This window comes from Homo sapiens, chromosome 18 (genome assembly GCF_000001405.40).
Source record: "Homo sapiens chromosome 18, GRCh38.p14 Primary Assembly".
NCBI lineage: Eukaryota > Metazoa > Chordata > Mammalia > Primates > Hominidae > Homo > Homo sapiens.
Genome location: NC_000018.10, coordinates 11,361,008 through 11,385,627, shown reverse-complemented (window position 1 = coordinate 11,385,627; position 24,620 = coordinate 11,361,008). Strand labels below are relative to the sequence as shown.

General features: G+C 40.4%; 2 long non-coding RNA genes across 2 annotated transcripts in view; both read left to right on the top strand.

Annotated features, from left to right (window-relative positions):
- The window catches only part of LOC124904250 (uncharacterized), a 55,834-nt gene extending 46,368 nt beyond the window's left edge, over positions 1-9,466 (top strand). The window contains exon 2 of the long non-coding RNA XR_007066292.1: positions 7,222-9,466. This is a non-coding gene — a long non-coding RNA (uncharacterized LOC124904250). The remainder of the gene's footprint in view (positions 1-7,221) is intronic.
- LOC107985173 (uncharacterized) overlaps positions 1-18,523 on the top strand; it is a 122,834-nt gene extending 104,311 nt beyond the window's left edge. The window contains exons 2-3 of the long non-coding RNA XR_007066289.1: positions 16,976-17,095; positions 18,181-18,523. This is a non-coding gene — a long non-coding RNA (uncharacterized LOC107985173). The remainder of the gene's footprint in view (positions 1-16,975; positions 17,096-18,180) is intronic.
- The last annotated feature ends 6,097 nt before the right edge of the window (positions 18,524-24,620 follow it).

Below are 24,620 nucleotides of genomic sequence, written 5' to 3'. Positions count from 1 at the left end.
ACCATCAGATTTTCAAGTGTGTTTTTATGCTCCATCTGGCACTCCAGTTACAGATATAGCATACCTTTTTACATTGTCCCTTTTTCTCTAGCTCCCTTGTGTTTATTTCTGATCATGTGTATTGCTGCGTTTTCTAATGTATTGCTCTTTCATTATACAATGTCTAATCTGCTGATAGTCCTGTCAAATGTATTTTTCTGCAGATGTTCAACCTGGGCTTTAAAATATCTTTTGTGTCCCTCCTTCACATGTTCATGCCTTCCTACACCTTCTTGAACATACAGAAGAAAGGCATAGTGACTGGAAATGTCCTTGTCTACAAATATTGTTATCGTTATCATTTCTGGGTCTATTTCTATTGGCTAATAATTTTCTTTATTATGGGTTATTTCCTGATGCTTTGCAGAACTGGTAATTTTTGACTGAATGCCCAACATTGTGATTTTATGTTGCCAATTCTGGGAATTTTTTTATTCTTATAAATATATATGAGTTACTTTCTAGAGCACAGTTACGTTCCGTGGAAACAGTCTGATTATTTTACAGTTTGCTCTTAAACTTTCTTAGGCAATAGCAGTACAGCCTGTAATGGAAGACTAATTCGGTGGCACTGCCAAGGTGAGGTCCTTCTAAGTCCTCTTCCTTTCACTCTGTGCACTGTGAGGTCTGTACCAATCTGGCTGTTGGGAGCAAACGGTCCTCCTGGCCACGTGTGAGATCCAGGAATTATTTCATTTTGCCTTTGCAATGCGTCTTCCCCAGGCTGTGGGTAGTGTTCTTTATAGCTGAAAGTTATTGATGCCCTCTATTACTTCATTGTTTTCCAAAGTGGAATTTTGTTTTGTTTTGTTTTTGTTTTATTTTATTCCAAAGTCCTGGGATTACAGGCGTGAGCCACCGCGCCCAGCCATATTATCATTATTTTTTATTTTATTTATTTATTTTTTTGTAGATGGAGTCTTGCTCTGTCGCCCAGGCTGGAATGCAGTAGCGCAATCTCGGCTCACTGCAAGCTCCGCCTCCCGGGTTCACACCATTCTCCTGCCTCAGCCTCCCGAGTAGCTGGGACTACAGGCGCCTGCCACCACGCCCAGCTAATTTGTTGTATTTTTTAGTAGAGATGGGGTTTCACTGCGTTAGCCAGGATGGTCTCAATCTCCTGACCTTGTGATCCACCCACCTTGGCCTCCCAAAGTGCTGGGATTACAGGTGTGAGCCACCACGCCTGGCCCAGATTATTTTTTTAAAAAGCAAGTAGTAGACATCCAACAGGAAAGCAGTTGAAAAATTTCAAAAGTTCCGAACTTTAATCAGAAACTTTTCAACTCTTGAGAGCTCCATGTGGCTCTATGCAATTAAATTTTTTTTTGGTGATTTTTCATATTGTCTATACTAAATTACTGCTTATTTCATCTTTCTCTACTTCCTGGTTGACTCACTAAGTTCCATGAGGAGAGTAACATCAATGCAGAACAGTAAATATGTGTATTATTTGCCCATAGAGAAATCCATACGTGGCTAAAGGAAAGATCTTTCTCTCTATAATCAAGAATAATAGTGCTTTCTTTCTCTTTTTTGAGACACCTTCCTTGAGTCCAAATATTTGTTTTACCCTGTTAAAAAGATAAAATGCTCTTCTTTTTCTTATTTGCACCCTTTTACCTATCCTAAGATATGAAAAGGAAATGAGGTATTCAGTTGGTTTTCTTAATGGAATTGTCCCTTCTCCCAAAATAAACTAAAGTGAAACTCTAGAATCCTGGGGATTCTTTCACATTTGATGTGAATTTTCAACAGGACTTTAGTTCTCCTGTTTGTTTTATTATTGGTTTGACTTTTGTTTTCCTTTGGTAACATGACAGATAGTCTTTTTCCAGCAACTCCATAGTTCATGCCACCTCTTTTCTGCTTTCACACCAGGGATAATAGTGAGCTGAAGAAACTCCAGCCTCTCCAGAATGGTAGGCATGGCAGCTCCTGAATTCTGCCTTATTTCTTAGCACACAGAGCTGTGAAGGAACTTGTTCTTATTCTCAGTAGGGCTGACTGCCAAAGTTTTCCCTGAGTTTGAAAATTTCCTTCATTTTTGGCTTTCAACTCCAAGTTCCCTGGGGGGGCACACAAAATCATAGTTCTTGAAAAGTAGTTTTTCCATTAAAAAAAAAATGGGCTTTTCCAATCATTTTGTACCGAAGTGGATGAATCTGCTGATATTTCTGAGAGAAAAACAAGTACAAAAAGTTCAAAAGTTTGCTCTTTATGAGAAATGTTTTACTAATTTCCCTTTTCCTGCTCTGGGTGACTAGAGTGTTATCAATTGTTATGCTGGGCAGATTTTTCAAAACAACCATCAGGAGCCCTTCCCCATTTTCAAGTAATGTAACTGATCCCAGAAAAAACACTATGTCATATGGAGTCAATAATTCTGTTATAAATCTTGTCAATGAATGAAACAACAGGGTCAAGGATGGAAGATTAAGGACTGTTACTAAAATGACTGATTGAAATCTGGCAGTTGCTAGCACTAAATTTTAAATGAGATTTTGGAAAAAAATTAAATTAATGGGAATAAATGTGGGCACCAAAGATATAGACTCAACGCCCTGTAAAATATGATTCCCTTGGAAATGTTTTCCTCCAGTCAGGTACTCATTTTGAGGAGAGACTTGGCACATGCAGAATTTTGAATATTCAGGCAGGTAAAATAGTGATGCCATATTTATTTCCCTCTTCTACAAATGGAAGGGGCAAGACATCAAAATGTCTTCTTCTGTTATTTTTTCTTTCTGGTCTGATCAAATGTAATAAATTTACCATGGCAGAAATAAATCCATTTTCCTCCTATAGCTAAGAGTCATAATTCTTCATTTATCACAGGACTATACCTTTTCATATGCATCATCAGTTTTTGGTTGTCTATTAAATACTTTTCAGTAAGCACCAGAAGAAAATGTCTTCGTCTAACAGGCTAGTTCTTACTGAATATGTCTATCATGAGCCAGTCAGTCAACAAATACTTCTCAGTTCTGAGATCCTGATAAGGACAAGATATACAGAGTCTCTTTTATTAAGGAACTAGCATTCCAGTTGGGCACAAAAATAAATATTTTTGGTTTTAGATCCTCTACGAAGTGAACTCCATGAGACATGTTGACGTCTTGCTGGTCCCTGTATCTCTTCACCTGGGTTGATACTCAGCACAGAGGAGGAGACCAACAAATATTCTATTTAATAACAAAATAAAACCTTGTTTTTGAAGAGACTCATTATCTGTTCCTATTATGAGTTAAATATGATCTCAAACAACTCTACTAGCCCATTCAAAATGAATTCAGATCTTAGCAGGAGTCAAGCTCCCCTCTCCCCCCATGCACAGAGGCCCTGGAAATCTGCCTACAGGTCAACCCATCACTCAGGATTAGAAGCAGTCTCTCTGAGCCCATCCTGAGACTTGTGACCCTGCCAGCAAGGCTCATGACATTGCCTGGATGTCAGAATACCACCTGGCCCAGGAAGGCCTTGTTTCCCCACTGCCATTTGCAGATCTGCTTTCAGGGAACTGTGTTCCTGGAGTTGGATCAGCCTGGCTAACTACCTACTGTGTGTTGTCATACTGATATTGTTTGGCTGTGCATCCCCACCCAAATCTCATCTTGAATTGTAATCCCCACGTGTGGAGGAAGGGACCTGTTAGGAGGTAATTGGATCATGGGGATGGTTTCCCCCATGCTGTTCTTGTGATAGTGAATGAGTTCTCAGGAGATCTGATGGTTTAAAAGTGTTTGGTAATCTCCCCTCACTCTTGTCTCTCTTGCCACCTTGTGAAGAAGGTGCTTGATTTTCCTTAGCCTTCCACCATGATTGTTAAGTTTCCTGTGGCCTCCCCAGCCATGAGGAACTGTGAGTCAATTAAACTACTTTCCATTAATAAATTACCCAGTCTTGGGTAGTTCTTCATAGCAGTGTGAAAACAGACTAATACAGAAAATTGGAACCCACGTAGTGGGGCATTGCTATAAAGATACCTAAGAATGTGGAAGCAACTTTGGAACTGCATAACCAGCAGATGTCTCCAAGGCATTTTAGAGATCTTTGTGGCAGCCCCTCCCATCAGAGGCCCAGAGGCCTTGGAGGAGAAAATGGTTTTGGGAGCCAGGCCCAGGGCCCCACTGTTCTGTGCAGCCTTGGGGCAAGGCACTCTGCATCCTGGCTACTCTGGCTCCAGCCAGTTCAGTGTGAGAATGGACTAATACACATACCTCCTGGGTACTAAGCTGCTTGTAACCTAGACTCCCCCAGCCCCTGTGTCCCTACAGTTGGGCATCCAGACTGCAGTCCCTCCTGACATTTTCCCAATTCGGTAAACAGGGCCAGCAGGGGCAATGAACAGCAGTTGGATGAGCATGCTGGCTGTCTTCCATATGTCTATCCAGAGCTCCTTCACCCTGCAATGGGCTGCTGTGCCAAGGCTGCCAGGGCTGTCGGAGGCTGGAGGTCTTTGTTGTCCAGCTCCCTCCTCTGGCTCGTTGCTCCTTTCTGGCAGTGATCTTGCTCTGGCTACCTCTGGTTCACAGGTTTCAGTCCCTTTTCTTCTCTCTCTCTCTCTTTCTAGAGCTGCTTCCTCTCACTGACCTCTTAAAGGGTAGTAAGAATGTCCAGTGCTTTTAGTCCCAGGCTTTGCTCTATCCCCTTTGGCTCCTTGTACCTTAGGAAATCATCCCTTCCTCAGGCTCTCCCCACATCACCAAATTGGGCTGTGCCTTTGGATCTTACCAGGGCCCTGGCTGGCACCACGAGGACACTTACATGTCCTCGTCGAGCCCTCAAGGTAAAGCTGATGTGGTCTTGGAAAGCTAGGATGCCAGGGCACTGAGAGCAGCTGGGGCCTGTCTCAGAGCATCCTCCATTGCTGGGCTCCTTTCTGTTAGCACTCCTGCTGGTCTCCCTGACCATCGTTATTCCTGATTGACAAGAGTAACAGACGTGTTCTGCTGCTTCACATTCACCAGCTTTAATCTATCCACAGCAGATAGGCGGCCCAGTGCTTTCTTCCATAGTTGTCAGGAAAGAAGAGCCCACTTCTCCCACCAGTTTCCTCCTCTCCTCCTTTTTTGACTTTTGCACTTTTGGCATGTCTTACCTCATAAAGAAAAATGAATGACGTATTCAAGACAGCATCCAAGTTTCTCATTAGCTCTGTAATGTCACGAATAAGCTGCAATTAACCATAATGATAGTAATAACAGTAAAATAAAATCTTAATTTCCTTGTTATGAGAAATATTTCCTCTTATTGCCTGGCCACAGCATTTCTTTATTTCTATTAACTGTACAAAATGAAAGAAACAAGTTAATAGCTTAGAAACGAGCCTGCCCCAGAGTGGTGATAAATGTTAGAAAACTAATCAAGAATAGCCACCTTTCCACAAGGAGCTGTACTGTGCAAAAAGACAGTTGTCTTCAATTTTTATTGTAATTCCAATGGTCTTTGGAGCAACGGTATTTTAAAAGGATGTTTTGTTTGTTTCCCTGAATGACTGGAAGCTCTGCTTATGGATTCAGAATAACAGTCATGAAACTTATACAAGATTACAAATTCAGTACATTTCCAGTCAGTCTCTCCCAATAGCTCTGACCTACCTTATGTACTTATTCCTAGAGTGAGGACCTCTGCAAGTCCACAGCACCTTCCGGAGCCTGTGACCCGGTCCCTCTGTGTCTGTTCTCACCTAGTGCTGTGCACATCTAAGACCGCAGCGTCCTCGCCAGTGCAGCGCCCTCCAGGGTTCGCCTCAGTTAGCGCGAGATGGGAGCCTCTGTTTCTCACAGTCACACATTTTTTGGAGAAATGGTGCTTTCCTGTTAATTCTTCTGAAGACAGGATATATCTAGAAATAGCTCCTAAGTCAATAAATAGTCCATTGAAGGAGTTTTGTGAATGAGGAGAATATTTTTCTTTAATTCGAGAGCTTTTCCCAGAGGCTTGACTGTTGGAACTGGCCTGGGGTGCGGCCACCCTGCAAGCCTGTCAAATGCTTGGATATTCTATCAACAAACCACGGGTTTAACTCCATCAGGAAGGATCTCATAAGGTTACTAGCAGCTTTGAAACAAGCGACAGCGACTTTTCTGCCAGATGCGCAATTTACAATATGCCTGAGTTATTTGGTGATTTTGGGTACGGCTTGCTGGATAGGGGCAAGTTGTCATTGCCAGAGCCCAGCTCCCAAGTCTGCAGGGCTGTTTCACTCATTCTGGGCTGGAGAAACAAGGAGGCCTCTGTGTGCTTGTTTCTGGTTTATGTATCCGCACCTTGCCTACCTATAAAATGATTTCAGGGGGATTTTCCTCAGAATTAACTGGCAGTCTGTCGTCGTCCTAAAGTTGTTACCATTTGGCATGTGACGTTATGGTAAGGTTCTTGTGGGTGGACTCCAAAGCCACACGCCTTCTCCTTCTGCCATTTGCACAGGAAGCCGTTCCCCCTTGCGGAAAGGGACTTGGGGATGGTGCCTCTGCAGCTACGAGTGTGTCCGAGGGTGGGGTGGAGGGCCTGAGGAGCGGCCTCTCATCTGTGCGCCCCTTCCCCCAGGCACCTGCCAGGTGGCGTAGCATCCTGGCACTCCCGCTGCACATTTACCTTCTGTCTGGCTCCTGGGGGCCACTTCCTGGACAGAGCACATCTTTGCCCACACGAACGCATCCTCTCCCACTCTTGTCGGCAGAAGGCCACCTGAAGCCAGCTCAGATCTGATGCTTTTATGTGCGGAGGCTTGAGCATCTGGAAACGGTAATTTGTGGCTGGGCGCAGTGGCTTATGCCTGTAATCCCAGCACTTTGAGGGGACAAGATGGGAGGATCACTTGAGCCAGTGATTTTGAGACCAGCCTGGGCAAGGTAGCAAGACCCTGTCTCTACTAAAAATGAAAATCTAGCCGGGCGTAGGGGCCGGCTCCTGTAGTCCCTGCAGGTGAGGCGGGAGAATCGCTGGAGCCTGGGAGTTGGAGGCTGCAGTGAGCTGAGATCACAACTGCACTCCAGCCTAGGCGACAGAGGGAGACCCTGTCTCAAATAAATAAAGAAACGGTAACTCTTTTCTTTCTTACCACCCTCCGAATGGTGCTGTACCACAATGGGGACCTTGAAGTAGGTGACCTGCCTCCGCCATGTAGCGGGCAAAGGTAGATGCAGGTTCTGACACAGATCCCTCTGTCTCCCACAGCTTCCTCTGCGGAACTTCATCGCGGGTTCCCCAGGACTGCCCAGGCCTCCCCAGGACTGCACAGGCCTCCCCTGGGCCGGCGGAGCCGCTCTCACCTTCCACACTTCGCCGCCCTCCTGCGCTCAGGCAGCATTCTGGACACGGGATGTACAGTCTGTCTTGATTTCTCACTTTCCTTTGGCCCATGGGCAGCCTCGGCAGGAGGAAGGAGGACAGAGGAGGAACAGATTCCTCTCTGCCCTAGGGCCCAGCGTCCTTTATTGACCTCTGGTTCCCAGGCCTGGTGCCCTCCTTCTCCTCTTTGCCCTCTGTCATTAGCCCTGGGGTCCTGCCCAGCCCCTAGGCTTTCCCCATTCCTCTTCTCCACCTTTGTCAATATCCCCCTCACCAAATCCTACGCCACTCTGTTGGGCTGTGCCCTCTGTTTCCTGCAAGCACTCAAGGCAGACATACAGTCACAGCCTTATCACTCACTTACATGATGTCTTCAGCTCTCACTGAGTATTGATACAGAAATAGCGCATTTGAAAAGGTCTCAACAATCTTTTGGGAAGCTCTAATTAAATGCCTCAGGCGTCACATTAATCAATATTTTTTTTCCAAGGTACCAAGCTACCAAAGTGACCATATCTTCTGTATACAGCACTGAGTGAGGCATTCTTGGTTCAGCCAACTTATAGCCAAAGACATGTTCTACAGATGTATTGTTGGCACATATTGTTTTTTTTTTTTTTTGTCAGAAAAATAGAATTATGCTAACTCATTGTGCTTTAGGCTGGCTTCTGGGCACGGGAGACACTTGACCTATTGCAGGCACCTGATAGCATCTCCTATTATGCTTGCCTCCTATTCTAGCTATTTCATTTTTATTTTGCAACCGGCCTCAAATTATTTTAAGATGAGAGACCTCCCAAAGAAATGGATTAATCCCATCCTGACTGTCTCTTTTTGAGACAGATTCTTTTTCTGCTGAAGACAATAGCTTTTCTCTCTCCTTCAGTTGTGTTAGAGCAAATGCGATCATTGAAATAGGAAGATTAATATTCCTTCATGGTCAGAAAGATTAACGCCTAGCCTTTTAGTTCCCTGCTCAGAATTTTGGGGCTTTGCAGTGAGGTAGAACAATAGACTGATGAAAATGATAATGACTGTCAGCTAAAACAACGCAACTTTGCTTTTTTCTCCGCTGCACGGAGATTAATGGCTTAAACCAAAACTTGATTATGAACCAAATGTATAAGAGTTCTGGACTCTTATTTCAATATGTTTTTTATGAGAAAGTGATGCTTGACTGTTAGTAACTTCTTGCTTCTTTTCCCACCATACCGCATCCCCCAAGCTCCCACAAAATACCAGGGCTGTCCCTCATGTCAGACAGGATTTCAAGTTAACATAAGAGTTGTGATTTTTGGAATGCATTTCTTAGACTCGTTCAAGAGGGTTAAAAAAATCCAGGTATGCATGCCGTTTAGGATATTTAATCTCCTTCCACTGAATCACTATAAAACCAGTGCTTTATAACTTTTAAAATAAATGCTTAGTTTCACATCAAAAAGAAAATATTCCAAATAAATATAATTTGGGTCACAGGACCAACTTAAAATACCAATTATGTTTTTTTTTTAATTTCCCTCCAAATACTGATTGCTGATTCCTACATTCCTAGGGTATGAAGAGGACAGAAATCAAACCTGTCTTTGTTATATAACATGTGGGGCTTAACCCTTACTGAATTATCTTGGAGGCATTTTATAGTTATAGATTTCCTCATGCTGGAATTGAAGAAAACTGGTCGAAGCTTTGGAAGCCCAGGTTCTGCCATGTGAGGTGGAAAATTATTCCATCTTTCTTCCCCTGGATGAGAACCTCATGTAGCATCAATGGTTTCCCAGATTTTTTAGTGGAAAAGCTTTTCTTCAAAGAAATCCTTAAAAAATATATTTGTCAATTAGAAAAACTAACTAATTTAAAAATGCTTATGAAAGCCAAATACATACAACTAATATATTTGGATTTACTATGATTTTAACAGACTTGTGAACCAAGAGTACATCACACTCCCCTACCACACTCCCTCCATCCTGCCTTCTGCTCCTACCACATCATCTGAAAATTTTGGGGGTCTGTGGACCAGAAGATGGATCTCATATTTCCAGTTGTCTGTCGCTTTTGTTGAAGTTACCTATCAAACATATACAACTGGTTTAGTAGGAAAACCATATTAAATAATATGCAGTACATCTACTATGAGAATGAATTGCTGAATGATGTTGTAAGAATAATAAGAAGTGCCTCTACCTAAGTAAAACTACAAAGCAACGTTTTAAGAATGGTAACAACCCGGGACTAACCATACTCTTGTCGTTGCTCCGTCACAGACAAGAACTTAATCAGGAATGTTGTAGCAGGGAACCTTTACATACTATCTCACTTTAATGTTCACAGTGATCCCCTCAGATAATGGTATGGCTTCTTTAAATTGAGGTTCAGAGAATTTGACAGCTTGTTCAAAGTTAAATATCCAGTTAAGAGACAGTTACCAATCTTCCCAGATTTTCCCACTCTAAACTCTGGGCTCTTGGTCTGTTTTCTATAGTGGTCATGAAGACTGAGACTTTTGAGGGAAATTGATTGAAACATCCAGATTGATGAATGGGCTGTGCCTGGATTAACCATTGCGTTGAATTTTGTGGTCTTTCCTTTGAAGGAGGTTACTGACCGGTCACTTGCTGCTACTCACTTTTAAATATAGGGCTTTTATTTTTCTATCAAATAAAGTTACCCAACTGGTAAGGGTCAAACAGTCATCCAAGTTATTCTTGCTGTTACAACTTAAAAGAGAATAAAGAGCTCTCTGTGTTCAACAAAAATACCCTCATGAAAATGGTCGAATGAGGGAGGGTGCCCTGGCAGAATATATATATTTTTAATTTTTTGCAGTGTTATGTCTTTCTTTCTCTAATACTTTAGGTTGTATTTGACATCATAAGTACAAAGGGGAAAACTATATTGAATAATTTTGATTCAGAGATGTGAATTATTTAAAAACTTCGTAAATATGAGTAATAAATTACAACCCTATGTTGATTGAATGACAGGTTTCTTCTTCTGTTGTTTTTGTTTGTTTGTTTGAGACAGAGTCTCACTCTGTTGCCAGGCTGGAGTGCAGTGGCATGATCTTGGCTCACTGCAACCTTTACCTCCTGGGTTTAAGCGATTCTCCTGCCTCAGCCTCCCAAGTAGCTGGAATTACAGGTGCATGCCACCATGCCCAGCTAAGTTTTGTATTTTTAGCAGAGGCAGGGTTTCACCATGTTGGCCAGGCTGGTCTCAAATTCCTGACCTCAAGTGACCCATCCACCTTGGCCTCCCAAAGTGCTAGGATTACAGGCATGAGCCACTGTGCCTGATCTGAATAACAGCTTTCTTAGACACCGTAGTGACTTAAAGCTGGAATGATCAGAACAAAACTTGTATTATTTTCCAATGTGTTTCCCCAGTGACATTAGAGAACACAGAATCAGCAGATATTTTATGAGACTTTCATATCAGAGGTCAAAATCTACATTTCTGATAAGGTTCTTAGCCAGTGAGTGAGAGCAGCTGTTGGAGGGATAATTATACCTCCTGGCCTTAACCCATATAATTTGTGTAGTTTTTCAAAGTGAGGAATATAAACCATTTGTTTCAGATTTAGCTGGGGCACGTAATGAAAATTTAGATTCCTGAGCCCCACCACAGACCTATAGAATCAGAATTTGGTGTTACCGAGTGTTGGAATTCTCAATGACCACCCTAAGTGATTCTTGGCCACCTGAAGCTTGAGAAAAAGATAGTGTGGAAGTTAGGCAGAACTGGTCTCAAATTCTCATAGCTAATAGCTGTATGATCTCTGGAAAGTTTCTTTTTTGTTCTTATTTTTGTTTTGTTTTGTTTAAATTAGGGTCTCGCTATATTGCTCAGGCTGGTCTCGAACTCCTGGCTTCAAGTGATCTTCCTGCCTCAGCAGAAAGCTTCTTGATATCAACTTTGTGGGGTTGATATGAACCACTATGAAAGCCACTAATTCAATGCCTGGTATATCATTAGGATCTAGAAGAAATGAGCTATTACTACTTGAGGGTAAGGTTCAAGACAGTAGAGCAGTGCTTAGCACATTGCAGGCACAGTAAATATTACAGATACTCTCACAGTGTGCAGAAAAGCACTTTTTCTTAAGAGTTTAAACAATAGATAAGACCCTTCCAACAACAGAGGCATGGTGTAGCAACTACAAGGAATAGCACCAAAGGAGGCTCATGTGCATTAGGAACAGCGTGATCTGCACCAAAAGATATTTCTCACTTTGTCATAGGGACTGCTATAGGTTGAATGTGTTCCCTAAAAAGTCATGTGTTGGCAACTTGGTCCCCTGTGCAGCAGTGTTAAGAAGTGGAATCTCTGGGAAGTCATTGGGTCATGGGGACTCTACCCTCATGAAAGGATTAATCCATTCATGAATTCATGGATTCATGAGTTACTAAGGGAATGGGTTAGTTATCACGAGACTGGGTCTGTTATAAAAGCTAGTTTGGCTCATAAGCCCCCTCACCATGTGATGCCCTGTGCTGTCTCAGGACTTGGCAGAGAGTCCCCACCAGCAAGAAGGCCCTCACTAGATGCAGTCCCTCGACCCTGGATATCACAGCCTCCAGAACCATAAGAGAGAAGTTTCTTTTATATTCATAAATTACCTGGTCTTAGGTATTTGGTTATAGCACCAACGACAACAACGATGAAAAAAATTAACTGTGACAGAGACTAATTTATTCATTGAGATTCATTACTGTAGGTACAAAACTATTAACTTCAAATAATGAGATTCAGAAAATATAATTAAGTATAGAGTTTATTGAAACACAAAGCTTGAGGATGGCTACTGGGAACACCAATTCCAAGTGAATGGAGTCAGCATTTCAAAGTGGAGAATCATATAGGCAGAGACACAGAAACTGTAGAATTAAAACATTTTCAATACAGGATCAGTACATATACAGCAAGTAATTTGATTGCTTACAGATTGCTACATCCCAAGGAAGATTACTTGATTACTCTTTGATGAGGGGCAGTGGTCTGAGGAGGTCTTATCTCAGGTGCCTTTTTGTCTTCCTAACTATTTACAGGAAAAAAGTGCAGAAGTTGTAGTTGCATGTCACATGACTCAAGCTACTACATAGCCACATTTCTTTCAAAGCTCAGAATAATTTAAAGTTCCAACAGCTTTAAGTTTGAATTATTTAATTAGACAAAACCTCTTAGGGGGATAAGGCTTCTTGCAGCCCATTAACCCCTAACCTCCATCCTAACTACTTTTCATCTGTGCAGGGAAAGCTCAGTGGCAGGAACTCTGCCGGGTGGGAGAAGACGGGAGGGGAGGACAGAGGCAGCCTGGTCTTTGCCCACTCACATTTTTGTCTGGGCCTCGCTTCATTTCATCTGTTAAATTTGATCTACTCAATAACAAACTGAACAGAGAACCAACAGGCAAACTTAAATAAAATATAAAGCAGAGGATGTAATATAAAGTTAAATTTCAGTCATGAAAAGTTCTTTTTATTTTGGTATGGAGTATTATACATTATAAAGAGAGAGAGCAACACAAAGCACAAATAGGAGAGTTTAACACACCTTTTTCTCAGTCCTTCATGATCAAATATATAATAAGTACCTCTACAGAATATTTGAATGAGATAAGGTTTATCAAGTATCTAAAATACATTTAAATGTACACCTTATAAACAGACACTGAACTGATAACAACTAGTAATATATTATATTACAAACAAACAGAAAATAAGAGTAAAAATTACGTATCTCTGGCTATGAAATAATATTATAAATACCAACTGTAAAAACAAAATAGTAAAATCCCACTCATTTTGAAATTATAAAAACGGCTTAAAAACAACCTTAGGACCAAAAAGGAAGTCAAGTCTGAAATTGCAGAATATTTTGAAAATAATGATAGTAGGAGCATTCCAAATGAAAATTCATGACTTACTGCCAAACCTTATTTCTCAGAGGAAAATCTAATTTAAAATAAAACTTAGCTTGTAAAAAAGTAGTGGAAAACAAACCTAGGAAAAGCAGAAGGGAAAAATTAATAAAGTTGTATATTGTAAGTAAAAAAAAAGATAGAATTGATACATATATTAAGGGCTATACATTTAAGTGAAAAATAAATAATAATTCTAATAAAATTCAATAGATAGCTAAATCAAGAGGTAAGTAGGAAGAGATTAAGAAGGCCAAATTAGAAATGAGAAGAGAAAAAGAACCAGATTTGAGAAAAATAAAATATTTATAAAAGAATACCTCAATCAGTACTAGACAAGATTAAATCTAGGATAAAATGAAAGTATAACCACACAACTGATGAAACTGACAGAGAGAGACCAAAAGATTTACTCATTTTCAAAACTTTTGTAAGAAAGTTTTTCCAAACTTAGAAGAAACAGATGAATTTTTCTGTTACTTTGATTGTTCAAGAGTTTGTTGATTACTCTTAGCACACCTAAATAAAAGCTTTACTAAAACCAGATAAAGGTAGTATACAACAGGAAGACTATAGATCAGTATCACTTATAAATATTGATGGCAGATAAATAAAACATTAAGAAATGGATCTGGCAGTACAATGAAAGAATACATAAGGATAGTAATGGACTATAACTCATTGGTGGTAAAAGGAACTCATGTGTTCATGGAACACAAGGACGGGGCAAGGAAGGAAGAAAAGCAAGAGGGAGGAGCTAAGAAGAGGCAAAAGCTCTTCCCTATAGTAAAATGCCAACCAATAAATATACAAAAGAAATGACAGAGTTTGAAATACTATGTTGCAACCAGCATAGTAATATTTGATACAGGCAAAAATCATTAAGAGATTCTAAAATTTATGGGTAAAATTTAGATAAGAAAAAGATACTTTGTAATCTTGGGTATTGGCCCACCTCTACAGATTACTTATTAATTACAAAAAAGAAAATGTTAATTTAACCTCTTAGGCATCATGGTATCTAGGTTCACATGACCAAAAATGGATAGACTGACATCCGATGTCTCCTGATAGGTGGGATGCGCTGAAAGGACACAGCGTCAATTCTACCGTATTCCTGCTAAAAATGCATAAGCTGAGTCTAATCATTAGGAAACAGAAAGACTAGATTTGAGGGGCAATCTGTAAGCTATTGACCTGTATTACTCAAAATTTCACTGTCATGAAAGAAAAATAAATCCGGAGAAACGTGTCCACATTAAAACAGGCTAAAGGGACAAGACAACTAAATTGAATGCACCAGATTGGGTTGGATCCTGGATCAGAGGAATAAAAGCTGTAAAAAACATTGTGGGGACAATGGCAAAATTTAAATGGAGACTGTCGTTTAAATAATAGCATTGAGTCAATATTAACAATTTCCTAATTTGATAATTGTCCCTGTGATTGTGTAAGAGAATAATCTGGTTTTTAGTACATAGATGTTGAAGCATTTAGAGGAATAGGTTAATGATACCTGCAACTTCCTCTCTAATAGTTTAGTAAATATAACTCTAAGCAGCAGGGAATGAATATAGTAAGAGGTTAACAGTTGATAAATTTAAAGAATATAGAAAAACTCATTTTTATGTGAATTTTATAACTATAAAATTATAAAGTTTTAACTTTAATGTCTTATTTTTCAGAAATAATTTGTTAAAAAATAAAAATTATTAATCATTCTAAGAAGTTGAAGATGGTTCAATATTAGGACTGACTAAAATAATTCACAGTATTAAGGGTTCCAAAGAAGACACTGTATGTTCATCTCTACAGTTTGCAAAGTTACATTTCACAAAAATTTCACAAGTATTTGGCCGGATGCAGTGGCTCACGCCTGTAATCCCAGCACTTTGGGAGGCCGAGATGGGCGGATCACGAGGTCAAGAGATCGAGACCATCCTGGCTAACACGGTGAAACCCCGTCTCTACTAAAAATACAAAAAAATTAGCCGGGCGTGGTGGCGGGCGCCTGTACTGCCAGCTACTCGGGAGGCTGAGACAGGAGAATGGCGTGAACCCAGGAGGCGGAGCTTGCGGTGAGCCGAGATGGCGCCATTGCACTCCAGCCTGGGCGACTGAGCGGGACTTCGTCTCAAAAAAAAAAAAAAATTTCACAAGTATTTTTAATCTAAAAAATAATCACTGTATATTTATATATACATATATATTTATATATACACATAATATTTATTTGGATCAATTGATCCAACAGCTAAAAGTTAGAAATAATCTATGCCCATCAATGGATGAATGCATAAGCAAAATATGATATATCTATACAATGGAATATTACTCAGCCTTATAAAGGAGGTTCTAACATGCTACCACATGGAAGAACCCTGAGTGCATTGCAGGGAGGTAAAATATCTTTTCCTTCTTCCGTTGTGAGTTCTTGCTGGGGGAGCCTTCTAACAGCAGCAACAACTCATTCAGGTTCCTCAGTGTCCCCGCCGAAATCTCACATCGAATTGCAAGTCCCATGTGTCAGGGGAGGGCCCTGGTGGGAGGTGGTTGGATCATGGGGGTGGGTTTCCCCCTTGCTGTTCTTGTGATAGTGAGTGAGTTCTCCCCAAGATCTGATGGTTTAAAAGTGTGGCACTTCCCCCTTCACGCTCTCTCTCTTTTGCTTCGCTGTGATAAGACGTGCTTGCTTCCCTTTTGCCTTCTGGCATGATTCTAAGTTTCCTGAGGCCTCCCCAGCCATGTGGAGCTGTGAATCAATTAAACCTATTTTCTTTATAAATTACCCAGTCTCAGGTAATTCTTTGTAGCAGTGTGAGAACAGACTAACACAGGAGTTAAGACTGCCGCTTTCCTCCAAGTCTAGGAAAGCAGCTCCTGCCTGCAAGTCTTATGACCTGCTTAAGGGGAAAGCCAGAAGGACCTTCCTGCACATGCTGTTTCTCAAATTCCCTCAGCTTAAAAAATTCACTATGTCAAGGTGCCACATTTTGGGGTAGTGGATCCTGAAAACCTTTATTACATTAAGTGAATTAACCTTGTCACAAAAAGAAAAATGCTGTATGATTCCACTCATATGAGGTACTTACCTAGAGTAGATAACTCATCGAGACAGAGAGGAGAATGATGGTTGCCAAGAGGCTAGGGAGAGGGCTGAGTGGGGAGTTAGTGTTTCATGGGTACAGGATTTCAGTTTTGCAAGCTGAGTAGTTCTGGAGATGGATGGCGGTGATGGTTGCACAACAATGTAAATGTATTTAATACCACTCAACTGTACACTGTAGGAGGGGGAAAATGTTTCCTTCCACCCTTTTAGGTTCTCAACTAGGGCCTCTCTAACAAAACACTAATTAACAAGGGAAAAACAAATAGAAGTTTATGAACATGTATACTTCATGAATATGTGGGGAAGACCCAGGGAATGAGTAACCCACAGAGTGACTTAAAATTCAGGCTTACCTGTCATCTTCAGCTAAGAACAAGAAAGAAGTGTGTGAGGAAAGCTGGTTATGGGGAGGTGACTGGGAAAGGTATGGTAAACAAGAGCAAGGCTTGTTCTGCAGATTTCAGTCCTTGCTTTCTCCATTCATAAGAGTCTCTTGCACTTTAGAGTCATTCCTGTCTTCCTGGCACAGAGAGAGACACCCCTACGATAGGAGATCTCTTTATTAAATGTAAATTTACCTAACCAAAGGGTAACTTGTACTCTGTTTTCAGAGCTTCTCCTGTACCTGCAGTTTCTCACGATAATCAGCTCACAATAGTCCTTATGCCAAAGAGGCATGTGTGGAGGTGCCATATTCTGGTCTCCTACAACATTCAGTAATGGTCAAGATGGTAAGTTTTACATTATGTATATTTTACCACAATAAAAACGAAGAATCAAGTGATCCAAAACAATGTCCCTCCTCACCCAAAATCTATTAACTTGAGCAGGAAGATTGATCAGTTTGTGATGTGACTCTGCGGGAATGTAGAGTAGTGTGGGAAATCAGAAACCACATTCATGGGGAAATCTCTTATAAAAGAAAGAACATCCAACTGTGAAAATGAATAAAATTAAAAGCTGTGCAATACCCCAAACACTGTGAACCTTGAGAGAGATGTGACTGTCATCCGAGTCACATAGCGTGAATCATGGAGTTGCAACTTCTGCTTCTTAGAATTTAGATTAGCTCTCCTCCTCATTGTTCTTGTTCTGTAAATGACTAGGACAGACCACAGACCAGACCTCCTTCCCGTCTAATCACTGACCTTTGTTATAGATTGTTTGTTTGTTTGTTTGTTTTTTGAGATGGAGTTTCTCTCTGTTGCACAGTGGCATGATCTTGGCTCACTGCAACCTCCCCTTCCGGGTTCAAGCAGTTCTCCTGCCTCAGCCTCCCAAGTCGATGGGATTATAGGCACACGCCACCACGTCCAGCTAATGTTTTGTATTTTTTTTTTTTTAGTAGAGGTGGGGTTTCACCATGTTGGCCAAGCTGGTCTTGAACTCCTGACCTCAGGTGATCCAACCGCCTTGGTCTCCCAAAGTGCTGGGATTACAGGCGTGAGCCACCGTGGCTGGCTGACCTTTGTTATAGATTAGCTGCCTCTTTTGTTGTCCTGTACCTAACTCAGACCAGATGGTACAAAAGGTCCCATGACTGTTACATCTTCAGTGTGGAATGTTCAATATACCTTTCCCAAAAGAAAAAGACCACCTCAACCAATCAGATCATTGTAACCAGGCATTAAGCCTGGCTTAGAAAGATGTTGAAATTCTGTTAAACTTCCCTAGACCTTGTCTGTATAAATGACTCCAAACTTTGGAACACTGAGTTCTATTCTTTGGAATCTGTGCTTCCCAGGTGGCTGTCCTTAAGCTTTGTGTTCCAATAAATTCTACATTTGATTATATTTTCTGAATATTATTATTTAAGGTTGATGCAGGAAACAGATGGAGGGGCAGAAGTTGATACTCATCTCATTAGATCCAAAGAAGCCAAATGGTGGCCATCACCTGTGACATGAAGAGGGTATATTTTATGGAACTGGACAGCTTTCAGAATCACAAGCAACCTCTTCAAAATGTGATCTACTGAAACGTGCTTGAAAGAGAGAATAGGAGTGAGGCGGGCAAAGGAAGCAGAAGCCATTGTGAACTGCCCTAGAGAAACCTTGGGCATCTTTTTGTTGGGCAAAGTGGTAGAGGCTGAAACGGGGAATAGCATGTAACATTTTATTTGACTGAAATAAACAGCTGTTTGTTTTTTTTTTCTTTCATATGTAAGATAGACAAAAGGTGTTTGACAGATAAGGATTGGGGCAATGTTGGTATGAGTTCAGCTTTTTAGTTTGTTCTTTAAAAGTGGCCATCAAGATGTGGGTGTAAGGTATTTCACAGTGATTTGCATTCATTCTCATTGCTGTCACCATCAAGGCCCAGTTACTCAATATCCAAGTTTGTTTTTGTTGTAATTCAAACAAAATAAATACAAGTAGCAGGGCTTTCCATCCTTCCTGGGAATATTGTGTGGGTGCATCTCAGTGAATGCCAACTGCTTTCAAATAAAATGTGCCATCTGAAGGAGCACAGTTTCCACTCCAGACCTGCATGTACAAGACGCAAAACAAGGCACTAGCTGGCTTAGGGGAGTCATGCCTGAGAGAACGAGTTGTATATAAAACTCTGCTGAGGCTGAAAATAGCACAGATATGAAAGACAGAAGCAAAAGATATCGGGTGTCCTAAAGTGCCAGATGCCCAGGTCACTTAAAAGTGGATGACTCAGAGTCACACAGAGTAGCAGCATGCTGGGATCTTTGAGGAAAGCTGACCAACCACAGAGAAGGAAAGGCAAAGTGATTCCGCAGAGAATTGAACCAAATACAAATTTGCCTTTGTTTTTCATCCCACAGAATTTCCTCTTCACCCATGAGGTTTATAGCTATTTTCACATGACCATCCACTGAAAGGAAAATAAATCTGATCCTGTCCCATCTACTCGAAATGCCTTGTCCTTAGGCCACTCAGCTTGATCCTCGTAATAAAATCACATAGAATGGAATACATTTTAAGGCAAAAATGTGTATGGCTAATTAGGATATTTATGTATTGATAAGATAAAGATAGATGAGATGCTGGGAGAATAAAATAATTATAAATCTTACAACATCATGTCAAAGTATATGGTATATGGTCAAAGTATATGGTATAAAACTACAAAACTGCTAGAAAAAAATTACAAAATTATGAGAGAACTTGCACCTCTTTCAATCATGGGTAGAAAAGGCAGCAAAAAAGTTAATGGGAATTTAGAAGATTTAGGCAACATAATAATGTTGATTTGGTACATGTATAAGCCTGAAACTAACAGATGATATAAAACCTTATGGATGCCACTGAACTGTGAAATGTACACATAAAAATGCTTAACATAGCACATTTTATTATATATATCTATATATTTTATCACTGTAGGGGATAAAAAAATATTTTTTTCTCAGTGATTGCTAGGTTTATGCCTGAGGCCTCCCTAATAACGGAAAGATTAACAAGAGATAAACACACAAATTTGTTTAATAAAAGTTTCATTGGATATAGGAACCTTCACAAGAAAATGAAGATCCAAAGAAACAGGTAAACCTGTATGCTTTTACAGGTTTACAGGGTGGCCGGCGCCTGCCCTCAGAATGTTTGGAAACTAAGAAACATACATAAAATAATTCAAAAAAAATTTAAAAAAAAAGGGAAAAAAGGAAAAAGAAATCACAAGAAATATTAGAAAATATTTAGAAGAAAATGTAAATTCCAAGGGAATATTTGTGAAATATACATAAATCATTCAATAGAGGGAATTTTATAGCCTTAAAATACATGCACGAAGAAATAAATCTTTCCTGGATTTCTTTTATTCCTGCAAAATTCTGGTTCCCTGAACCACTGAAATGGATATAATATGAAGCTAGAGAATGTTTTCCTTTCCCCCCAAATATTTTACTTTTTGCACGTCTTGAGTATTAAACTGCGGTTATTTGTCTTCTTTTAGTTGGAACTAATTCCCTTCCATCTAAAGGAAAACAAAAGTGTTTTTTTAATTAAAAAATTTTAATTTATTTTTCTTCTTTAATGGAGACTAAGTAGAAATCCAAGACAAAAGTTCTTCTATTTCCCTGAGTGGGAAGAAGTTTGCATGCCCGGGTGGGGCCTGGGAAACTGGAAAGACAGACTGAATAACCTTGAGATCACCTGAGGGATTTAGAGAGTTATCTTCATAGGTGTTTACATTTCAAGGAGGTGAAACTGGCCGGTCCCAGCACTTTGGATGGCTGAGGCGGGTGGATCACTTGAGGTCAGGAGTTCGAGACCAGCCTGGCCTACATGGTGAAACCCCTTCTCTACTAAAAATACAAAAAAATCAGCTGGGTGTGGTGGTGCGTGCCTGTAATCCTAGCTACTCGGGTGGCTGAGACAGGAGAATTGCTTGAACGTGGGAGGCGGAGGTTGCAGTGAGCCAAGATTGAGCCACTGAACTCCAGCCTAGGCAACAGGACAGAGCAAGATTGTCTCAAAAAAACAAAAAACAAAACTAAAGGGGTGAAACTGAATTGGAAGCACATTTTATCTTTCCCCTGGAGACATTTATTAACATTCCGAAGGGAGACGAGGAACCTTCTCCCTATACCATAGGGGGTGTGCATATTTTCTGCTTGTATATGTGTGGAAAAATGCATATTTCTGGCATACTCCCAGGCACCTCACCTGCAGTGCAATTCCTTACCTCGCGTAGTGTTGAGTGGATGCTGCTACTGGGTTTTGCTCTCTCTCTCTGGTGCAAGTAGAATAATATCTCATATTGTTCACAATTTCTGACTTAACAACATGTTTTTTTAATGAAGAAATAATAAAAAAATTATTGAGTTAAGAATCAAACTCTAGAATTTAGAAATAAGCCTGGTGCAGTGGTTCATGCTTGTAATCCCAGAGCTTTGGGAGACTGAGGTGGGAGGATTGCTTGAGGCCAGGACTTCAAAACCAGCCTGGGCTACACAGTGAAACCCTGTCTCTACAAACACATTTACAAAATTAGCTGGGTGTGGTGACACTATCTGTATTTCCAGCTACTTAGAAGGCTGAGGTGGAAGGATCACTTGACCCCAGGAGGCCAAGGCTGCAGTAAGCCAGGATCACACCACTGTACTCCAGCAAGACCCTACCTCTAAAAAAAAAAAAAAAAAGAATTTATAAATAGAAGATAGAAGGCCAGGTGCGGTGGCTCACGCCTGTAATCCCAGCACTTTGGGTGGTCAAGGAGGGTGGATCACCTGAGGTCAGGAGTTTGAGACCAGCCTGGCCCAACATGGCGAATCCCCGTCTCTACTAAAATTATAAAAATTACCTGGGCATGGTGGTGGGTGCCTTTAATCCCAGCTACTTGGGAGGCTGAGGCAGGAGAATCACTTGAACCTGGGAGGCCGAGGTCGCAGTGAGCCAAGATCGCTCCATTGCACTCCAGCTTAGGGGACAAGAGCAAAACTCTGTCTCAAAAAAAAAAAAAAAAAAGAATTTAGAACTAGAAAGACAAATTCCGAAGAGTAGGATAGAAAATAATAAAAGCAGAAATTAATGAAATGAAAATGCAAACATAAACTTTTGATAAGGCTGAACTAATGTAAAAAAATAGAAATGCATAAATTTATAATTTAGAAAATAAAAGAAGAGGAAAATATGCAATTCTTTAAAACTGGAATTTAAAAAAAACAATGATTTTCACTTTTAGCAGGATAGGGAATTCATCTGATTGCTATAAAATATGTTAAATAGATATAAATATATAGTTTACATAAAATAAAATTCACATATTTTAGATATAATTCAATGAATTTTGACAACTGTATGTGCCCATGTAACTACCACCCAAACTTTTCCATAACTATGGACACTTCCCTGGGACCCCCTTCTAGTCAAGCCCCTCCTCCTCTGCCCACTTTGAAATGTCTGATTTCTATCACTATATATTTGTTTTCCCTATTCTTAACATTTAGATAAATAGAAACACACAGCCTGTGTTCTTTGGGTCTGGTTTCTTTCACTCAGTATAATATTTTTGAGATTCGTGAAAACACTAGTGCAAAATTTTAACTGCAACAGTGAAAGAGATCTTACCTCACTGACTCCATCTTGCTTCTAACCTCCAAAGCTGTCCTTGTTCATTCCTGGGAGTAGGCTGAACTAACTTTGGGAGGAACCTAGTTTATAGTTTAAAACAAACTTCCTTCTTGCCTGAAGACTAGACTGCTTTTGTAGGACTAACAAATTAGCCAAAAGATGAGAAATTGTGGTTTAGGAGTCATGCAGCTGGAGGCTACAAGATTCTGAGCCTCCCCAAATCTCTGCTGGGGATAACGTTACTATTGTAAAGCCTAAGATCAGTACTTGAGGTAGTCTGCAGATCCTGCACTTGATGGATCAACTGGTACCACCTAGGTAGATAAACTGAATCTTGTGGCCCACACCCAGGAACTGAGCACAACAAGACAGCTTTGACTCCCTATGATTTCATCTCCCACCCAACCAATCAGCACTCCTGACTTACTAACTCCCCCCAACCCACCAAATTATCCTTAAAAACTCTGATCCCTGAATGCTCAGGGAGACTAATTTGAGTAATAATAAAACTCCAGTCTCCAGTACAGCCAGCACTGAGTGAATTACTCTTTCTCTATTGCAATTCTACTGCTTTGACAAATGGGCTCTATCTAGGCAGCTGTCAAGGTGAACCTGTCAGGCAGTTACATTCGTAGGCGTTGCATGCATGAACAGTTCATTTCTTTATATTGTTAGGTAGTTTTTCATTTTTTGAATGTACCACAATTCATTTATTTTTTCTGTTGTTGACCTTTGCGTTGTTTCTAGATTTTGGCTATTTTGAATAAAGTTGCTATGAACATTCACATTAGGGTCTTTTTGTGAGCACATGTTGATTTCACTTAGATAAATTCCTCAAAGTGAAAATGCTGGCCAGGCGTGGTGGCTCACGCCTGTAATCCCAGCACTTTGGGGAGGCCGAGGAGGGCAGATCACAAGGTCAGGAGATGGAGACCAATCTGGCTAACACGGTGAAACCCCATCTCTACTAAAAATACAAAGAATTAGCTGGGTGTAGTGGCGGGCACCTGTAGTCCCAGCTACTCAGGATGCTGAGGCAGGAGAATGGCATGAACCTGGGAGGCAGAGCTTGCAGTGAGCGGAGATCGCCCTACTGCACTCCAGCCTGGGCGACAGACAAAGACTCCGTCTCAAAAAAAAAAAAAAAAAAAAAATGCTGAGTCATAGAGTAGGTGTATATGAAACTTTGTAAGAAATTGCCAAACAATTCTCCAAAAAGGTTGTATAATTTTAATTCCCACCAGGAATGTATAAGAATTCCACATTTTCCACATCTTTATTGACACTTGGTGGTGTCAGTCTTGTACGAATTTTAAACATACTCATGAAGGTATTGTGTTTTTTATTGTGGTTTTAATTTTTATTTCCCTGAAGATTAGTGATATTTATTAGTCGGCCTTCTTTTACTCAGCACAATGCATTTTAGATTGATTCATGCTGTTGCATATTTCAATAGTTTGCTTCTTTTTATTGCTAGCTAGTATTCCATTTTATGGACGTACAGCCAATTGTTTTTCCACTCCCCAGTTCAGGTATATTTGGATTGTTTTCAGTTTGGGGCAGTTATGAATAAAGCTGCTATAAACATTCACATACAAATCTTTATGATCATAAGTTTTCATATTTCTACATAAAAACCTAGGAGTGAAATTGGTAGGTCATATGATGACTGTGTATTTAACTTTATATGAAACAGTGCAACTGCTTTTCATAGCGTCTGTACCATTTTGCATTATTGGTAATGTGTGAAAGGCCTAAATTACTCTGCATCCTCACAAGCACTTTGTTGGGGTTCAGAAAAGAACACCCTAAAGTGAAGTCCTCAGAACCAGCCACACAAGCAAAGTTTCTCTGTGGCCTTCTCCTATCCTTCTGTCTCTCATCCCTCATTCTCCCTTGAGGCAGGCCATAGAAACTAGAATTGCCTTTCTTCAAGGCAGATTATAGTAACCAGAGCCCCTCTCCCTCAGAGCAAGCTGTGAAACCTAGAAATATTATTCTAACCTTTCCCCACCTTTCTGTCTAGGAACTGGCTACAGATAAATTCTCTGACCTTGTCCAGTAGTAGAGCATAAGACCCTCATTATAGAGATGAGAAAAATGAATGTCACATAGACAGGCTAAGAAGAATCCCAACAGACAGGCCTTGCTGTTTTTCCCACTCAGTTTATTGTTAAGATTATCTTTTTTTTTTTTTTTTGTCTAATCACAT